At 37.6% G+C, this 19357-nt stretch overlaps 1 long non-coding RNA gene across 1 annotated transcript in view, besides 5 other annotated features; it reads left to right on the plus strand.

Moving 5' to 3' along the window:
* Positions 1 to 17090, plus strand: part of LOC105378237 (uncharacterized) — a 40775-nt gene extending 23685 nt beyond the window's left edge. Inside the window, exons 2-3 of the long non-coding RNA XR_944433.2 lie at positions 13752 to 13862; positions 16798 to 17090. This is a non-coding gene — a long non-coding RNA (uncharacterized LOC105378237). The remainder of the gene's footprint in view (positions 1 to 13751; positions 13863 to 16797) is intronic.
* Positions 2918 to 3087: an enhancer, noted in NCBI's record as "experimental_82580 CRE fragment used in MPRA reporter constructs". NCBI's record gives its function as "activates a minimal promoter by MPRAs in K562 erythroleukemia cells, with activity observed for both the introgressed and non-introgressed 5:151743915 variant alleles {active_cell/tissue: K562}" and the evidence as "EXISTENCE:reporter gene assay evidence [ECO:0000049][PMID:34662402]".
* Positions 8819 to 8988: an enhancer, noted in NCBI's record as "experimental_82586 CRE fragment used in MPRA reporter constructs". NCBI's record gives its function as "activates a minimal promoter by MPRAs in K562 erythroleukemia cells, with activity observed for both the introgressed and non-introgressed 5:151749816 variant alleles {active_cell/tissue: K562}" and the evidence as "EXISTENCE:reporter gene assay evidence [ECO:0000049][PMID:34662402]".
* Positions 15639 to 15808: an enhancer, noted in NCBI's record as "experimental_82589 CRE fragment used in MPRA reporter constructs". NCBI's record gives its function as "activates a minimal promoter by MPRAs in K562 erythroleukemia cells, with activity observed for the introgressed 5:151756636 or rs55689355 variant allele {active_cell/tissue: K562}" and the evidence as "EXISTENCE:reporter gene assay evidence [ECO:0000049][PMID:34662402]".
* Position 15724: a transcriptional cis regulatory region, noted in NCBI's record as "Neanderthal adaptively introgressed variant 5:151756636 (GRCh37/hg19 assembly coordinates) or rs55689355 in the experimental_82589 CRE". NCBI's record gives its function as "modulates activity of the experimental_82589 enhancer by MPRAs in K562 erythroleukemia cells {active_cell/tissue: K562}" and the evidence as "EXISTENCE:reporter gene assay evidence [ECO:0000049][PMID:34662402]".
* Positions 18698 to 18867: an enhancer, noted in NCBI's record as "experimental_82596 CRE fragment used in MPRA reporter constructs". NCBI's record gives its function as "activates a minimal promoter by MPRAs in K562 erythroleukemia cells, with activity observed for the non-introgressed 5:151759695 variant allele {active_cell/tissue: K562}" and the evidence as "EXISTENCE:reporter gene assay evidence [ECO:0000049][PMID:34662402]".

The following is a 19357-nucleotide window of genomic DNA, read 5'->3' on the forward strand; positions in this document are numbered from 1 at the left end:
CTACTCATCCATCCATCCATCCATCCGTCCACCTACCTACTCATCCATCCATCCATCCATCCATCCATCCATCCATCCATCCATCAAGTTGATTCTGTTTCTCTTAAGAACTCTAACACAGAGGGTTTTACCTCATGTGCTTCCCTTCTGTCAAAGATCATAGCCTGACATTAATCCAGTGCCTGAGAACATTATTTTATATATATTTTTTCCATTTACAGCAGAGGTTAAGTCTGATACTTCCTATTTCATCATAACTGGAACTAGAAATTATCCTAGCTTTCTCAAAGTTTATTCTGCTTGGTGTGACAACAAGTAAAATATCCTTCAAGTAAACGGACAAATCAATAAGATAATTATAAATTGGGCTATGTCCTATGAAAAAAACAACAAACAAAAAATGGCACTGAAATAGAGATTGAAGGATGGGGAGGGAGGGCAGGGTTTGGGATATGATAATGCTTTGAAGAGGTTTAACTTGAAATCTAAATAATGAGTTGGGTCTTCCTTATATGAAGCAGAGATAGGAGTGGAGAACAAAGGAACATTCTGTAGAAATGCAGATTCTGAAGAAATATCACTTGCCAAAATTCATGCCACACAAACAAGAATGAGAATATTGTATTTACTCTGAATGCTGTGATTTTTTTTTTTTTTTTAAGAGATGGGGTCTTTCTCTGTCACCCAGGCTAGAAGGCAATAGCATGATCATAACTCACTGCAACTTTGAACTTCTGGGCTCAAGCAATGAGTGCTGTGATTTTAAATAGATAACACATTGTAAGTGCTATTCAATAGGAGACCTTGAAAGGGGATAGAAATAAAGAGACCAAGACCATGCCTAGGGGCTGTATGTGGGACAAAGTTTGGAGGTATGCTATCATGTGTGCTAACTTCAAATACCTGAAGGGTTGTTATGGAGAGGGCAGGCAATTCTAGAGCATGGGTTGGCAAACTACAGCCCGGAAACCAAATCCAGCTACATAGTCTTCAAACTAATGGAGAGCTACCACAGAGATTTTTTATGTTTTAAAATAACTACATTTTAAATGGTTATATTACTAAGTACATAATAGCCTAAATTTTGTCTCCTGGCCCACAAAGCTGAAACTATTTATTATCTAGCCATTTAAGAAAAAAAGTTTGCTGACCCCTACTCTAGGTCTGTTACAATAATTTAATTTGCTGTAGCAAAAGAAATGACAAGCCAATCTGGAATCAAAATTCCCTAAGGCAAAAGTGATTTCCTGAATCGGGAACTGGAGGGACCTTCCTCATAGGTCTCTCCACCCCTGCTCTGTCACTAGACAGTTTTCTCCAGCTCAACCATGCACAGAAGACTGACATTTAGTTTCTTGAGAAAAACACAGAGGCACTGGGCCAGCTGTCTAAGTATTTGACTTCGTGGAATTGGATGGTTTTCTATTTGGTTGAGACAATCGTGTGATTTAAAAACACACAATTAGTGACTACATCCAAATTGATACATTGTTTTACTGAGCTTAATTATCCCCCCAGCCTCTCCTCAATTGGATTTAAGCATAGACAAAGTCCTTGAATAACAGATTAGTGACCCAAATTAATCTGTGATAGGTCACCAACTAGCAGGGAAGTCTAGATTATAAAGTAGACCAGTTCCTCAGGAACTAGGCTATAGGATGAGGTAGTTCAGAAGGAAAACACTTGTTTTAGAGTAGTCTTCCCCAGCAAAAACCAAACAAGTGATGGAATGTCCTGGAGTATGGTACATACTTCATTCATTTGTGTATTTATCAAACAAGGAGCTCACAGTCCAAAGAAGATACAGATATAAATAATAGTGAGTGTGTGGAATATATATTTAGTTTTTATAGGTTTGCAGGTATCTCCAGAGTGCTATAAAACTTACAGGACAAGCATGTAGCTTGGCTTTGAGGGAGGCCAAAATAGTTTTCTGGAGGGGATGGCACCTGGGAATCTTACAGAATGGTTAGAGGTTATTCAGATGAAAGGGCGTGGGGAAGATACATGAGTAGAATGACTTAGGAAAAGCCATGAAGAAACTTAGTGTTCTGAGTAGATCAGAGTGCTGAGAAATGATGCTGGAGAGTCAAAAATGGCAGGGCCATGCTATGCTAAGGAATTTGAATATTATCCTGAGGACAATTGGAAGCTAACAAGAGATATTAACAGTGACATGATTATATTTGAATTTTTAGAAAGATTGTTCTGATAGTACAACAAGGAGTCAGGTGGAATGACTTACTCAGACTGGGCTTGGGGGTTCTGTTAAGATTGTTGTTGCAGTTATCTAAGTGATAGATGACAATGTTGTAGGCAGTAGTAAGGGTGATGGGGAGAGGACTATGAAGTACCAAGGAGGTTAAATGAACAAGATTAACTGTTGCTGGGATATTTGCAGCAAATGAGGAAAGAGAAGTCAACAGTTCATGTTGACCTCCTTGGTACTTCATCATCCTTTCCCCATCACCCTTACTACTGCCTACATCACTGGCATCCATAAAATAGACTGAATAAAGAAAATATGGTATATACACCATGGAATACTATGCAGCCATAAAAAGGAATGAGATCAGCCAGGCAGGTGGCTCACTTCTGTAATCCCAGCACTTTGGTAGACTGAGGCAGGTGGATCACTTGAGGTCAGGAGTTCAAGACCAGCCTGGCCAACATGGTGAACCCCTGTCTCTACTAAAAATACAAAAAATTAGCCGGTTCTGGTGGCGTATGCCTGTAATCCCAGCTACTTGGGAGGCTGAGGCAGGAGAATCACTTGAACCCAGGAGGTGGAGGTTGCAGTGAGCCAAGATCGCACCATTGCACTCCAGCCTGGCCAACGAGAGCAAAACTCCATCTCGAAAGGAACAAGATCGTGTCCTTTACGGGGACATGGATGGAGCTGGCAGCCATTATCTTCAGCAAACTAATGCAGGGACAGAAAATCAAATACTGCATGTTATCACTTATAAGTGGGAGCTGAATGATGAGAACACATGAACCCAGGGAGGGGAACAACACACACTGGGACCTGTCAGAGGGTAGGGGTTGGGAGGAGGGAGAGTATCAGGAAGAATAGCTAATGGATGCTGGGCTTAACACTTTGGTGATGGGTTAATCTGTGTAGCTAATCACCATGGCACATGTTTAGCTATGTAACAAATCTGTACATTCTGTACATGTACCCCTGAACTTAAAAGTTAGAAATAATAAAAAATACCATTCAGATCTATATTAAATGAGACAAGCATAGCAGGAGAGATATGAAAAAATTAAAAGCAAGGGAAGGGATAATTTGCAATATAAAATAGTACTGAGCACTATGGGGGGTTTGACATGGGAATCAGGGAAGGGTCACTGGAATAAGTGGTATTTGAAATAAGGATGAGTTTTCATAAAGGAGATTTGGCTGTGTCTCTTATGAGGAGGTTGAAAGTGTTAGCAAATACTTGAAAGACAGCAGTGTGTGTAGGGGAATCATCCTTTCAAAGGTAGGTAAGTGCTTGCAGTTCACAGTAATTATTGCCATCTTTCCTCTCATTTGACTGTGGCAATATTCTCATGAAAAGGTCTTGGGTAAGTAGCATGATTTCCTTTTCAGAGGCTCTTGGGTAAAATGATGCTTCCAAACTCTCTACTTTGTAAGGGAAGCCATGGCTTGAACCCACATGATACTTGAGTATAATAAAGCAACATGAAGCTAGATCCAAATGGAAAGGTCAGGCATGTGCTGCTTGGGTACACACCTGGACAAAAATAGCTCTCTCAAACAAGAGACCTGCTAACAACAGAAGATATACAGTGCTTGCACTGTATATCCTAGAAGATTGGGAGCTGAAATTTGGATAGCAGACTGAGCATTTTAGGGAAAACTTCAAGGACACTGAACCAGAATCAACCAACACCAATGAGGTGGGTGGGGGTGACCTTTATTCTCTTACTCCTGGGAAGTAGTAACTTGCATGTAGCCATTTGGAAACGATGTACCATACATCCAGGTATTTTTTAGTCCAAGCTTCTGAGACAAAGATTTAAAGTTGGAAGAACTCTTAGCAGCCATCTTACTCGACGTTTTCCAAAGAGTTGTCTACAAAATGAGAATTCTACTGGGTGTTAGTAGGTAATATACAGAATTAAAAAAAAGGAGGATTTTTGGTCAAATAGCTTTGAAAAACTCTGGATAAACAGATATAAATATGTTTTTAAAGAAACACTTTATTTTAGAATAGTTTTACATTTACAGAAACATTGGAGAAATAGTACAGAGTTTCCATGCATAACAACCAGTTTTCTCTGTTATTAACATCTGACATTAGTGTGGTACATTTTTAACAATTAATGAACTGATATTGATACATCATTATTCATTACAGTTTATACTTTATGCATATTTTCTTAGGTTTTTTTTTTTGCGGGGGCTCTGATATCTTTTTTTTGTTCCAGGACCCCATTCACTATAGCACATTACGTTAAGATGGCGTGTTTCTTGAGGCTCTTCTTGGCTACTGTAGTTTATCAGGCTTTCCTTGTTTCAGGTAATCTTGAAAGTTTTTAACAGTACTGGTCATGTATTTTGTAGAATGACTCTCTAGTGAAATTTGTCTAATATTTTTCTCACAATTAGACTGGGATTATGACTTTTTTGGGAGTAAGACTGTGTAGATAAAGTGCTATTCTCATTACATCATATTAAGGCTATATACTATCAGGATGACTTAACCATTGTTGGTGTTAATCTTGGTTAACTGGCTTTGGTAGTGTTTGTTAATTTTCCCCACTTTAGAGTTACTCTTGTTTTTTTTGCAGTACTGTAATTTTTGGAAGAAAGTCACTATGTGCAGTTGATATATAATGTGTAGAAAGTTATTCTCTATCTCCTTGGGGCAGAGTATCTACATAAAGCATTTGGAATTTTTCAGCATGAGAGATTTGCCTATTCTCTTCCATTTATTAATTTCATCATTTATTTATATCAATATAGACTCATAGATATTTACTTTATATATTGGGTTATAATTCAATATAATTTTATTTTGTTGTTCAAATTATTCCATTTTTGGCTACTAGGAGCTTAAATTTCTTCCTATGTTCTTTTGACATACTTTCATCATTGTGGTTTTTTCTTTGTTTTGTTTTTGTTTTTGTTTTGTTCTTGTTTTTGTTTTGTTCATTTTAGCATGTGCTTACTTTATGACATAAGATGTTTCAGGCTAATTTTGTGTATTTTCTGCTCTAGTACTAAAATCAGATATTTTCCAAGGAGTCTGTTTTTTAATATATGAATAGTATTAGAAACCGAGACCTGGGGGCTATATATGCTTTTTGAAACTTGTGTGCCACTGCCTCTAGGAACTCTCAGCTGACAGATTTAAAAAAAAGTATATGTTTATATTAATTGATGTATGTATACCTATCTATAAATATTTCTGTATGTAACATCTGTATTTATATTAAGCAAAACATAATTTCACATTGATGTCTCCAACTCTAATCCTTCATTTACAACATTCTAGCCTTCCCCTTGCTTTTCTGCAGTTTCCAGCTTCAGCAATGAAAACCTGGTTTCCATCATCTGTCATCCAATTAGTTAATTGTTGAATTCCAGTATATATGCTTAGAGGTTTCAGACTTGACTTCTACTCCCTGGGAAAAAAACTTTATCAACCAGAGTATACTGTTTATGTATAGTTTCTTTTGTCTTTGATCTTATAGATTCCACTAATTTCTAACGTTAGTTTTATCCTACCCCTTTGAATAAGGTTGCTTTATGCATTTGTACTAAAGTCTTTTGCCATATTCTGCATTCCATCCTGGGATTCCCCTATTTCCTAATTTTTTAAAAAATTTGCATGCCTAATGTATACCCCAATTCCAGACATCTAGAAGGGAAGCAGGTGTTCAACATACACCATATTGTTTGCATGAGTAGTTAAGGCAAAGTGAGCCACTCTTATCAGTCCTTGGAATGGTGGAAACTCTTCTTACATCCAGGTTCCCAGATGCTAGCAGAAGAGCAACCTTGCAAGCAGGTTTTCCTATGGTTAATAGTCTCAGGCCTACTATGTTAACTCTTATGCACATTATATAAATGAAATCATACAGCAAACGGTCTTTTTCAGACTGGTAGCTTTCATTTAGCAATATGCATTTAAGACTCATCTATATCTTTAAGTGGTTTGATAGTTTATTCATTTTTATCATTGAATAGTATTCCATTGTTTGGGTATACCAGTTGGTTTATCAATGCAGCTAATAAATGTCTTGATTGCTTCCAGTTTTTGAAGCTTATTAATAAAGCTGCTCTAAACATTTGTGTGCAGGCTTTTGTGTGGAAATAAACTGTCAAATCAGTTGGATATCTAGAAGTGTGATTGCTTGACACTGTGGTACGACTATATTTAGCCTCGTGAGAAACTGCCAAACTGTCTTCCAAAGTGCATTCCCACCAGCAATAAATGAGAGTATCTGTTGCATGTCATCCTTGCTAGCAATTTATTATCAAGATTTTTTATTTTTTCCTTTTCAAAAGATTTCAGCTATTCTAATAGGTATGTGGTAGTATCTCATTGTTTTAATTTTTTTCCTTAACGACATATAATGTTAACATATCATTTGGTGAAGTATCTATTCACATCATTTGTGCATTTTTAAATTAGTTTCTTTTTCTTATTCGTGAGTTTTAAAAGTTCTTTGTATGTTTTAGATACAAGTATCTTATCAGATATACTTTTGCAAATATATTCTCCTAGTCTATTCCTTGTCTTTTTGCTCTTAACAGTGATTTCATGGAGCAGAAGTTTTTAGTTTAAGTAAAGACCAACTTGCCAATGTTTATCTTTCATGGATTGTGCTTTTTGTGTTGTATTTAAAAACTCATTACCAAATTCAAATTTTCATATATTTTCTCCTATTATTTATTCTGGAAGTTTTATAGTTTTGCTTTTACATTTATATGATACATTTTGAGTTAATTCTTGTGTAAGATATGAGATCTGTGGATAGGTTATTTTTTTGCATATGGATGTCCAATTGTTCTAGCACCATTTATTGAAAATACTATCATTTCTCCATTGAATTAACTTTGTGCCTTTGTCAAAAATTAGTTCACAAGGGCCGGATGTGGTGGCTCATGCCTGTAATCCCAGCACTTTGGGAGGCCGAGGCAGGCAGATAATTTGAGGTCAGGAGTTTGAGATCAGCCTGGTCAACATGGTGCAACCCCGTCTCTACTACAAATACAAAAATTAGCTGGGTGTGGTGGTGCACGCCTGTAATCCAGCTATTTGGGAGGCTGATGCAGGAGAATTGCTGGAACCCAGAAGGCAGAGGTTGCAGTGAACCAAGATCGTGCCACTGCACTCCAGTCTGAGTGACAGAGTGAGACTCTATTTAAAAAAAAAAAAAATTAGTTCACAATATTTGTGTGGGTCTATTTCTGGGATCTTCATTTTGTTGTATTGATTTATGTTTCTTTTCTTTCACCAATACCACACTATCTTGATTACTAAAGCTTTATAGTAAGTCTTAAAATTGGGTAATGGAAGTCTTCAAACTTTGTTCTTCCATTTTATTTCAGTTATTTAAGGTCGGTTAGCTTTTCATGTAAACTTTAGAGTTTACTGATATCTGCAAAATGGCTTACATAAATATGCTTTTATTTCAGGGCTTCTCAGAACCATTAGTGTTCAAATGTGAATTATGAATATCTAAGAAAGATAAATAGTTTGTAGCACTTTCCAAACTTATATGAATTTGAAATTCTATTTTTTTCTGGGCATATATTGCATGACTCCAGAGATGATGCCCTTAATTTGACAAAATGAAACAATGAAGCTCACTGAGAAAATGGTATCTTGCTAGGTTAATAATTTGATGAGGATCAAGGACTGAACTAAACACTTATTACTTTATTTTGTGGCTATGAATATATTTCAGTCACATCTGTCTTTGGCACATATCTTCACATATATCTCAGATAATCTTATAGTTAGTTACAAGCTCAGAGAAGCATAATGTAGATATTATCTGGCTTGAAAGATTCCAGTGATTCATGGTAGATGAATAGCTTTTCATCTAACTTAGGCTTTGAAAAATAGTGATTAAAAGTGATTATATATTAAATATAATTTTCTTCATATTTTGATGATGCAGCATTATACAATTTAATATTAAGGATAATAGTAACATAATTCTTATTATCCCTTACCTCCAGTGTCCATTGGCACTCATCCAATAAACATAATGGAGTTGGGGGACACTCATTGAAAACTATAAAGTAGTGAAGTGAACAAATTGAAGTAGTTGTGAAGCCCATCAATCTCACTGAGCTTTCATTGCCTTTAAAATGCATTCCCCTGACTCTTCTCACTTTCCTAAGGGTAATGGCACTGTTTTGTTACTCTGTTCACCTAAATAGAGCTGTACTAATGAGTGATTCTAAAAGGCTTTAAGATGGTTAATATAATTGGCCTCTCAATTAAATGCTTCTTTTCTTCTGAACCTCCACCAACTTATTCAAGCACTTCTGAAAGGCCATTGAAGTCATCCTTGAGGTCCCCAGGCTAAGTGGTTACAGAAATGGCAAGGTGTGTGCCTTTCTAGTACCTCACCCTCTGCTTGGTTTATGTCTTTTTATTGAAGTGGTAGGCAAGTTGAAAACATCACCAATGGATGGTTCTATTGGTGGACTGGTAAAATATCCAGATTATCAGTTTCTAATCATTTTGTGATCATGCGTTCTGTGGTGGGTTGAATAGTGCCTCCTAAAAAGAAATATCGAAATTTGTCTGAGCGCGGTGGCTCATACCTATAATCCTAGCACTTTGGGAGGCTGAGATGAGTGGATCACTTGAGGCCAGGAATTCGAGACTAGCCTGGCCAACGTAGTGAAACCCTGTCTCTACTAAAAATATAAAAATTAGCTGTGCATGGTGGTGCATGCCTGCAGTCCCTGCTACTCAGGAGGCTGAGGCATGAGAATCGTTTGGACCCCGGAGGTGGAGTTTGCAGTGAGCTGAGATTGTGCCATTGAATTCCAGCCTGGGAAGCAGAGTAAGACTCTCTCTCAAAAAAGAAAAAAAAAAAAAAGATAAAAGGAATATCCAAATGTTAACACTCAGCAATATTGAATATGACCTTACTTGGGGTCTTGGCAGATGCTATTAAGTTAATGATATCAAGATGAGATCATATTGGATCATCTGGGTAGTCCCTAAATCCAATGGCAAGTGTCCTCATAAAAGAAAAAGAGGAGCAGATACAGGAAGAAGAGAAGGGCATGTGAAGATGGAGGCAGAGGGTAGAGTTCTGTTGGAGAAAGTCAAATGCCTAGAGCAACAGGAGCTGGAAGATGTAAGTAAGAAAGGATTCTCCCCTAGACGCCTTGGAGGGAGCAGGGCCCAGCCAATACCTTGATCTTGAACTTCTCAAGTCCTCTTATTCTAGGACTATAAGATAATACATTTTTGTTGTTTTAAGCCATCACATTTGTGGTAATTTGGATATAACCTATGCACATCCTCCCGTATACTTTAAATAATCTCTACAATACTTCTAATACAATGTAAATGTTATGTAAATAGTTGTTACACTGTAATGTTTTATTTGTATTATTTTTATTGCTTTATTATTATTTTTAAGTTTTTAAAAAAATTTGAATATTTTCAACGCATGGTTGGTACAAAACCTGTGGATTAGGAGGGCCAGGACTGTGTTCAGAACTGGCCTTGCAGGTATTAGATACTTAACATAGAACTCTCATTGCAAGCCCTTTGGCAAATTGCTAATGTCAGAGAAGGCAAGAAATACCACTGGGGCATTTTTCAGAGCCCAAGGAGGCTTCACAATTAGACTAACAGCTTACAAGATAAGTTGAGTATAGCCAATTGAGAAGGATTGACCTAATTCTTCCTTCTTAATTACCTTAATTTTATGCATCCTGTAATTAATTGAATGACTTAGTGATTACAGCTGCTTTCTCTATGTTCAGCTAGGGATGAAAACAAGTTGCCATCAGAAACATAGGTGGATGGAGGAAAAGGAGAGATTAGGGAATGGGTCAGAGATAGGAGTCTGCACAAACTCTATGCTCCATAGTGATACAGAAATCACTGTGGTATTTTGCTTCTGAAGAATGTATATGTCTTCCTGGTAAGAGGAAAGGAAAGGGAATGCTCAGATTCTAGGACTAGAGTTTAACTTTGACATTTTGGGCCAGATATTATTGCAGGAGACAGCGGGGCTGTCACGTCCATTGTAGGATGTTTAGCAGTGTCTTTGCTCTGTCCACTAGATATCAGTTCTCCCACTAGATAACAGTCTCCACAAGTTATGACGAATAAAAATGTTTTCAGACATTGCCAAATATCCCCCTGGGGTCTTCCCTGAGAGAGAAGATCATCCCCAGATGAGAATAACTGGACTAGACTGTTGATGAGGTTAACCATTGGTTACAGGGCTGCTGTATGCAGCTACACAAGCTATGCAGTGACAATTTCACACAGCACCATTCTCACAGACTTCAATATTGTTGTGACAACTTATTTCAGATTTTTAAAAATATCTGCAACCCAAGGGTTTGGCCTTTAATGTTGAGGCTTTGTAGGCTAAGAACATGTACTTCTTAATTTAAATACAATGTAAAAATTTTGCAGAAGCTGTGTGCCCATCAGAATGTCTGATAACTTTAACTTCTTAGAAGATGAGCCACTGGGATCACATTGATCTCTGCCAGTGTTCTTGCCTTCCTCCCCACTATTGCCTAGACCTTATTACAGGTTGAGCATCCGAAATTCACAAAATAAATCTGAAACGCTCCAAAATTTAAAACTTTTTGAGTGCTAACATGATGTTCAAAGGAAATGCTTATTGTAGCATTTCGGATTTCAGATTTTCAGATTTGGGATACTCAATCAGTACAGTGCACATATTCCAAAATCTGAAAAAAATTTGAAATCTAAAACACTTCTGGCCCCAAACATTTCGATAAAGGAGTGCTCAACCTGTATCATCAGTAACTGTGTCACCTCTGAAATCTTTATTTCAAATATCTTACTCCCTGATTGCCAGCTTCTGTGCTCTTTGTCTTGATTCATCTAGTCCTCTCTCTACAACAATATTTTCACCCCAACTGGGTCTCCAATGCATTGACCTCATCATTTTACCCGACTATTCTTTTACCTACATTTGCCTTTTTACCCAGTTTAGACGCTCTTGTTCATCATGGTAATCATTCCCTTGTAAACATCCTCAATGACATTGCCTTTCTAGCCCTCTGATATGTTGGTATGGCTAAACCCAATTCAGATTGAATTTAATTATTTACCGTGTCTGAACCTGAATTTAAACAGATGAGCATTTGTACCCAAATGAAAAACACACATATGGTAGGGTGACCCATTGCAGCTTAATTTCAAGATGTCAGACTTCAAATGGACCTCACACTGCCTAGAATTTTCATCCTGGTAAGCATGGTTTCTCCTTGTCAGGACAATTCTTTCATACTTTACTCCCTCAGGTGTCTTACCATCCCTGTCCCCATATCTGATAACCTTGCCTGAACAAATAGAAGCAGGGGGGACTTTCTCATATACACATTATCAAATCCAGAACATACCTTTGTTTGGATCTATATTTATGTTTTCCATCTTTTCATTGCTTCTACCAAGGGTCAGTCTCCTGTGCTCTCGGTGCCAGAGACTGTAACTTCCTCAATGATTCACTTCTGTGGTTTCCCCTACCTCTGACAGCACAGTTTCTTCCTTTTAACCAAATTATTCCAATTGCATATGAATACACTGTGGGTTCTCACATTTTACATTGCCCTCCCATGATCCACATTCTACTTCTTCATCATCATATTTCTCTCTTCTTCTTCATAGTAAATAATCTTAAAGGAGTGTTCTGTATTCATTGCATCAGGTTCCCTGTCTTCCACTGTTTCTTTAATCTACTCCAATCTTGCTTTTACCATCATTACTTCTCCAAAACCTTTTCTGTGCATGATAATCCTGTTGCCAAAACAGGTGGACATTTCTTTGAACTCTTTTTTTCACCATTTACTATTGACCTCTTCTTGAAGCTGTTCTTTTGTTTTCTAGAATACCACTCTCTCTTAATATTCCTCTTGCCTCTTTAATCATCCTTTTTTGTCTTTTTGTTTACTGTTTCTTTCTTCTCAATCCTACCTTTAGTTCTTAGACTTCTCTACCTGTTGGTTCTGGATGATCTTCTCTGTCTACACATTCACATACAGTGACCTCATTCACTCCATGACTTTAAATGCCAAATGGACAAAGATGGCCCTGAAATTTATAACTACAATACTATATTCTTTCCTGTGTTCCAGATTTATATATCCAGCTGACTCTTTACTATCTCTAATTGGATATATTATAGGTATGTCAAATTCACGTTTTCAAAACAATGTTTTAAAATTTCTCTTTTTTCTTCTTTCAGGTTCCTCTTCAACACTTTCTCATCTTAGTAATTGACACCCTCAACCCACTCAGCTACTCAACCCAAGAACCCAGAAGTCAACCTTGATTTGTTACTTACTTTCATTCCCTGCATATAATTCTTCAGCATGACATTTCATTCTGTTTCTGAAATATATCTTCTTTCCCTTGTCAAAAGGGACCAATACCAGACATTTATTAAAGTTGGCAAGACAGATTTTATTCAGACTACTTCAACAGGGGAGAGAGACACAGTATACACTGAGCTCAACTCCAGCTAAGACAAATGTGACAGAGGGTTTTAAAGGGAAAACAGAGAAAACACAAAGGAGCTCTGGGGAAGTAAAAAGGAGGAAATAAAAAAAAAGATTAAGGGAGCTGTGGAGCAATAGAAAATTACAGAGGGCAGTACGTGAAGAATTACTGAAAATGGTTTGGGATTGTGGGTTGGAACAATGTATATTTCATGGTTTGGTGGCATTGTGTGTCACCTTAAGGGACATGGTATAGTGCAGGTGGCAGCCAGGCTAAAGTTTGGTCACGTCTCTTAGCACAATGTTTAGGCAAATCCTTTGTGCTGTGTGGAAGTTCATACCCTCTTCACTGTTACCACCTTGTCTGTCATCTGTCATCTGATCTTTTGAAAGGGCCTCTTCAGTGGTCTCCTTGCACCTATTTTTGCCCGATATAAACAAAATTGTGTGTTAATTATGGAAATGCAAGTCAAAACCACAATGATGTACCACTTCACACCCACTAGAATGGCTATAATAACAAATAAAAATAAAGACATAACAAGTATTGGTGAGGATGTGGAGAAATTGGAAACTTTATACATTGCTGGTGGGAGTTAAATGATATAGCTACTTGGAAAACGTCTCAGCAGTTTCTTAAACATAGAGTTACCATATGACCCAGCAATTTCATTCCTAGATAACTACCCAAGAGAAAGAAAACATGTGTTCACACACACACACAGAGTACCCAAATGTTATTGTCTGTTTACTATGGATCACAGAGGGGCTCTGTTTATTGCAGTCACTCAGGGATCTAGGATGATGAAGCTGCCATTGATCTCAACAATTGTTAGTTGTTATGCTACAGGGAAAACATCCTCTGGCAGATCTTGTATCAGCAGTTGATACTCATTACTTCTACTTATAATTTAGAGGCTAGAACTAGTCATGTGTCCCCATCTAATTCAAGAACAAGGAAGAGCAATCCTACATTGTGCCTGTGAGGTAGGAAACCAGAAATAGTCAGTGAACATGTGAATGACTGTTCACTTCCCCACTCCAGGGCCTGCGACCTTGCTGTTCTCTCATCTTGGTATGATGTTCCTTCACCTCTGCACAGAGCTGGCTCCTTTTCATCCTTTGGTTCTAGAATTTCCCTTAGAGAACTTCTGTGGTAAGTCATTTCCAAGCAGTGCCTTAATTTTCTCCCCATTTCTTTTGAGCTCTTTATCCCATCCTCCAATATGTTATTATAATCCTGCTTATGTCATAATCTAAAATTATTTGTATATTTCTTTGCTTATTTTTTATTGACTATTCTCCTTAGAATGTAAACTTTTTGAGGTTGTAATTTGTATTCTTCTCGTATTCAATTCCTGAATCTCCAACATTTAAAACAATGCCTAGCAAGCTCATAATAGAAAATCAATAAATATTCATTAAATAAATGAATGAAGATGCTTTCTTACCTTTCTAGCATTTTTCATGCTGTTCCTTCTTCCTTTCTCAGACAAAATACTATGCATTATCTAATGTTCTAAGCTTAATGTCATCCTCTCCATAAACCCTTCCCCTAGTCATAGGGGTAATTTTGAAGTGAACCATGCTCTCATAAAATTTTACTTATTCCTTTTTGGATACCAGATACTCTGTCTTGCATCTTTGTAGTTGTATGCATGACTCTCCACCATTTCCTATTCCACATCTTGGATTAGATTTATATAGCCTTAATACAAAGTATTATACCTTACGAATGTTTTATGTCCCAGTACCAAGCCTATTCAACAAATATCTACCAACCAACTGTGTTCTAGGAAATATTCTAAATGCTGGGGATACAGTAGTGAAGAGCCCTGGGGGCACTTATTTTCTACAGAGGCACACAGAACAACAAACAGATAAATATATAACTAGAAGTGATAAGCACTTTGAATAAAATTAAAGTAGGATAAATGGGACAGACAGTGAAGAAGGAGTGGTTAATTTAAAAATGTTGGTCAGAGAAAGTTTTTCTGAGATGTGATACTTGAATAGAGCTCTGCATGAAATGAAGATGCAAGCCATCCATGCACCTGGGAGAAATATGTTACAGGTAAGCTCAACAGCAAGTGCAAAGGCCGTGATAAATAAGCCAGAAGTAGCCTAGTGTAACTCATATGCAGTGGGATGGGGGAGAAGGCAGAGGGTTGTTGGGACCACATTTTACATTGTAGGCCATGCAGTGGGTCTGGGTTTTGTTTTAAATATGTTGGCATGCCATTAGTAGATTTTGAACAGATTAAGGTGGTTTAAAGCATCAAATCAACCAGGAGGGTCTCCTCCGTGGAGAACAGTCAGAAGTGGGGGCAGCAAGAGTGGAATAAAAAAATAAAAACCGGTTAAGAAGCTATTTGATAGACCAGGTGGGAGAAGAAGGTAGCTTGGATTAGAGTGTAGTGCAGAAATGTTTGAGAAGTGGTCAGAAGGTGAGAGTGGTATTCAGGGAGTCAAGAAAGAAAGTGTTTCAATAGAGAGGAGAATTTTAAAAAATCAATGCTGCTGAGAAGTTGAACAAGAAGAGGATAAATAATTGATACCTGGAGGTCATTGGTGAGCTTGATGAGAGTGGCTTTCCTGGAGCAATGGAAAGAAAAGCCTGAGTGAAGTGATTCCAAGAAAAGGTGGAATATGAGGATGTGGAGACAGAGAATATAGATTGATGCAATTTTGCTAGTAAAAAAGAAGCATATACATGAGAGGGGATTATAAGGATTATAACGTGAAATGAATAATTACTTAAAGTATTAACATATTATTTTTAAAACAACACACAAAAGATAGGAAGAAATTGACTTATTATTCTCCTCTCTCCATTCCATTAACTTCTCCCTATGCTCAGGGAAAAGAAAGACCTTCTGTATGGATGGGGACAAAATGGACTCTGGGGAGACCAGCCAGGCCACTTTGCTTAAAGTAAAGGCTCTAGAGGGAGGCACGGGGGAAAAACAGTAGAAACACACTGGGGCAAAGGCTCTCTCGTCCGTTTTAGGATCTCTCTCTCTCTGTCTTGCCTATCCTTTCTTGGCCCTGACATTGTTTTCTCCCATTTTGGGTTTCTGCCTAGTGCTTCTGAATTTTAATTTCCCGAAAGCCAGTTGTCCTGGCAAGAATGCCTTGTTGCAGATGGAAAAGGTGGGGGTAATCAAAATAATGAAAATGAAAGCTATAACAAAGTCTAATTGTTTTATATTAAAAAGATGAATCAATTCTGTTTTTTACCTCCAATATTTTTCCTCATCAAAGAAATAAGGCTTTAAAAATGGAATCAGGTTGTGGACCTAGAAGAAAAAACGACAGAAAAACAAAAAGCAAACAAAAAATCACTTGACTGTTTTTAGTGTATACCAGGGGTCAGCAAACTACAACCCACAGGCCAATCTGTTTTTGTAAATAAAGTTTTGTAAATCTGCCATCTGTTTTTGTAAATAAAGCTTTATTGGAACACAGCCATGCTTATTTATTTTCATATTGTCAATGCCTGCTTTTGTGCTACAATGTCAGCACTGAGTAGTTGTGACAGAAAGTATATGGCTGTAAAAGCCTAAGATATTTGCTATCTAGCTCTCTATAGAAAATGTTTGCTAACTTCCTCATTTACACTAACATTTCCCAAAATGTGCCCTCAGTGACATTACCTCAGTGGGGTACCATGAGCACACAGGATTGGAAAATTTCAAATTAAGTGAGGGTAAGCAAATTTATTCAATGTGTAGGACTCATGGAGGCTTACATGTGCCACTATGAATTATGAGTCTCTAAAAGGAAGGTAAAGTGTTCTTTGTAGGCTTAAAGATAAGATCTTAGGGCAATTAGGAGGGGAATTTAGTTCTGAATTCTAAAAATGCCTAGATCCTGGCCTGGAAGACACCTCTTCTTTTCATAGAATTCTGGATAAGTAAAATCTATAAGGAAAAACCATTTTATTAATAGTTCTTCAAGTAGCCAATGCCCCAATATAGGGCTCCCCTGTAAATGATAATGTTAAAACACATAATATGTAATTTAAGGCATACAAGGGGCTTCCTATCTTCCCCTGGTTTAAGTCTTTAAATATTACTATCTCATGCCAGGCTCATGGATAAAGGAAGCTGAGTAAATGGATGGAGAGCAATATGGCAGAGGTCTTCACCGGCCTTGGTCTAACTTATGTATCTGGAGGAGAGAGAAAGAAGAGACAACAATCAGCCACATCTGCACAGAAACAGCTGTGTAAATGGATGTGTGGGAGAGCACTGCAGCCTTGTTTATGCTTTTAAGACACAGTGATTGCATCGAATCATCATTACAGTCCAGTCACTATCCCAAAACTCTGAATAATATGATATGTAATTCTTCCTTCTTTACTGCTGACAGACAATTAAAAGGCATGAGCAAAAGTAACAGGCACAGTAACAGGATGCTGTAGTACATTCTTTCCCTACAGTTTGCTGACGTTCCCTAACTTATCTGAATTCAATATCCTTTGTTTTTCACAGAACTCATAGTGAGACCAATCTTCTGGAAACAACCCACTCGATTTTTAGTGGGCATAAGAATTTACTGGAGATTTTTGATTAATACTAATTCCCATCACAGTACTCCAGCTGAAAGATTGCATTTCAGCAGACTCAGGAGCCTGCATTTTTTTTTTTAAACTCCCACTTGGTTCACAAACAGGTAGTCCACTGGTCATAATTTGAGAAACAATGGTCTCAACGTTAGCTGGAGAAGCAAAAGGAGTCCTTAAGCTGTTGCGTAGTTCTGCCCTACTCAGTAGAAAAGGCTGGAGTAAAACTCCAGGCTGATAACTACGCTTGAGTTAAATCATGCTACCTATCATCTTTGGAAACCTCTGACACAGATAAGGAGTTGGCCTAGACTTTTAGTTTGAAATTTTGGCAAACTGAACTCTCTGAGACATGACTCATAAACCAGATCTAGAAAACCTGGAGAGTCTGAAAGATTGTAGGGGCCCTTTGTGTGTCAGAATTGATTGAATCATTTACATAAGGAAACAATAGTTGGAGGACTTTTTAGGGTTACACTCAAGAAAGATTAAAATTCAGTTTTCTGTGTTATTTAAATATGCTGTCTGGAAATTTATAGTATCTCCCTTTTTGTAAGTCACTGATAACATTAAGAATGGTATAGATGACATGAAAGATCTTGCATGGTTTGCAGGCAGTTTTCAAGAGAAATAAAGACTTATGAGAACAACTCAAATTAAGCTGTCTGAAAAGGGAATGAGCTGCCTTGGTAGCCAGCAAACTTACATAATGAAAAAATGTACAAGCATAAGATAGATTGTAGAGGGAATTCAAATATCTCACCAGTTCTAAGGTTCTATATTTTAAAGTTCTAAATTTTAAAATTCTTACCAGCTCTGAGATTCTGAGTCTGTTATATAATCATTTCATACCTGTTTTTTGGATGACAATGCCAATTTTACATTTTATTTCAGTAAATATAACTTACATGTCCACTTGGGGGTAGTAAAGTATTTTTTCAATATCTCTAGGGAGTCTTCAGCATTTCCTTTGCACATCCATTAGATGCAAGTAAAAATAGTACCAACGAGATGTTGTACTATTTCTTTCAGTTTGTAAATTACAGTTTCTTCCGGTGCATACGTAAACACAGTAGAAATTATGGGCAATCAGGTTTTATTTTATTTTTCTATTTTTTCTTTTTCTGCAATGCCCAGAGAATTAAAGACATACAAATTAAAGTGGTTTTATCAGCAGCAAATATGCCCAGAGTAGGTCCAGGCTGAATGACATTAAAGTTAATTCTACAATGGTCCCATTACATTTAATTTAATTTAATTCAAAATAAAACAGTCCCAAGGTGGCTTGAAAGTTTCTGTGTTGTAAAGATATGCCAATACTTGAGTTCTTCTCCTCCTCCTAAATAATTTCAAGATTATTAAATTTTTACTGTAACAACAGTAACTTAAATTACACCAATACCCAGTGGCTTAAGACAACACTTTTTAAAAAATTATTATTTCACACTTTCTGTGGGTAAGAAATCCAAGTGTAGCTTAGCTGGGTGTCCCTGGCTCTGGGTCTTTCACGAGACTATGGTGAAGGTGTCCACTGGGGCTGCAGACACCTTATGGCTTAACCAGGGAAGGGTCTGCTTCCAAGCTCACTGGCAGCTGGTTTCTTCAGAGAGAACTGTCCAAGAGAGGGAGAGAGAGAGAGGGAGGTATGCCCAGGAGAGAGGTCAGTCTTTTTGTAACCTATTCTTGAAAGTGACATCCTGGCTGGGCAGCAGCAGTGGCTCACGCCTGTAACCCCAGCACTTTGGGAGGCCGAGGTGGGCAGATCACGAGGTCAAGAGTTCGAGACCAGTCTGGCCAACATGATGAAACCTCGTCTCTACTAAAAATACAAAAATTAGCCGGGTGTGGTGGTGGCACCTATAATCCCAGCTACTCAGGAGGCTGAGGCAGGAGAATCATGTGAACCCGAGAGGTGGAAGTTGCAGTGAGCTGAGATGGCGCCACTGCACTGCAGCCTGGCAACACAGTGAGACCCGGTCTAAAAATAAAACAAAATAAAAAGAACGTCCTGTCCTTTCTGCTATATTCTATTCGTTAGTAAAAAGTCAGTAAGTCCAGCCCACACTCAAGGAGAGAAATTACAC

This window comes from Homo sapiens, chromosome 5, assembly GCF_000001405.40.
Source record: "Homo sapiens chromosome 5, GRCh38.p14 Primary Assembly".
Classification (NCBI taxonomy): domain Eukaryota; kingdom Metazoa; phylum Chordata; class Mammalia; order Primates; family Hominidae; genus Homo; species Homo sapiens.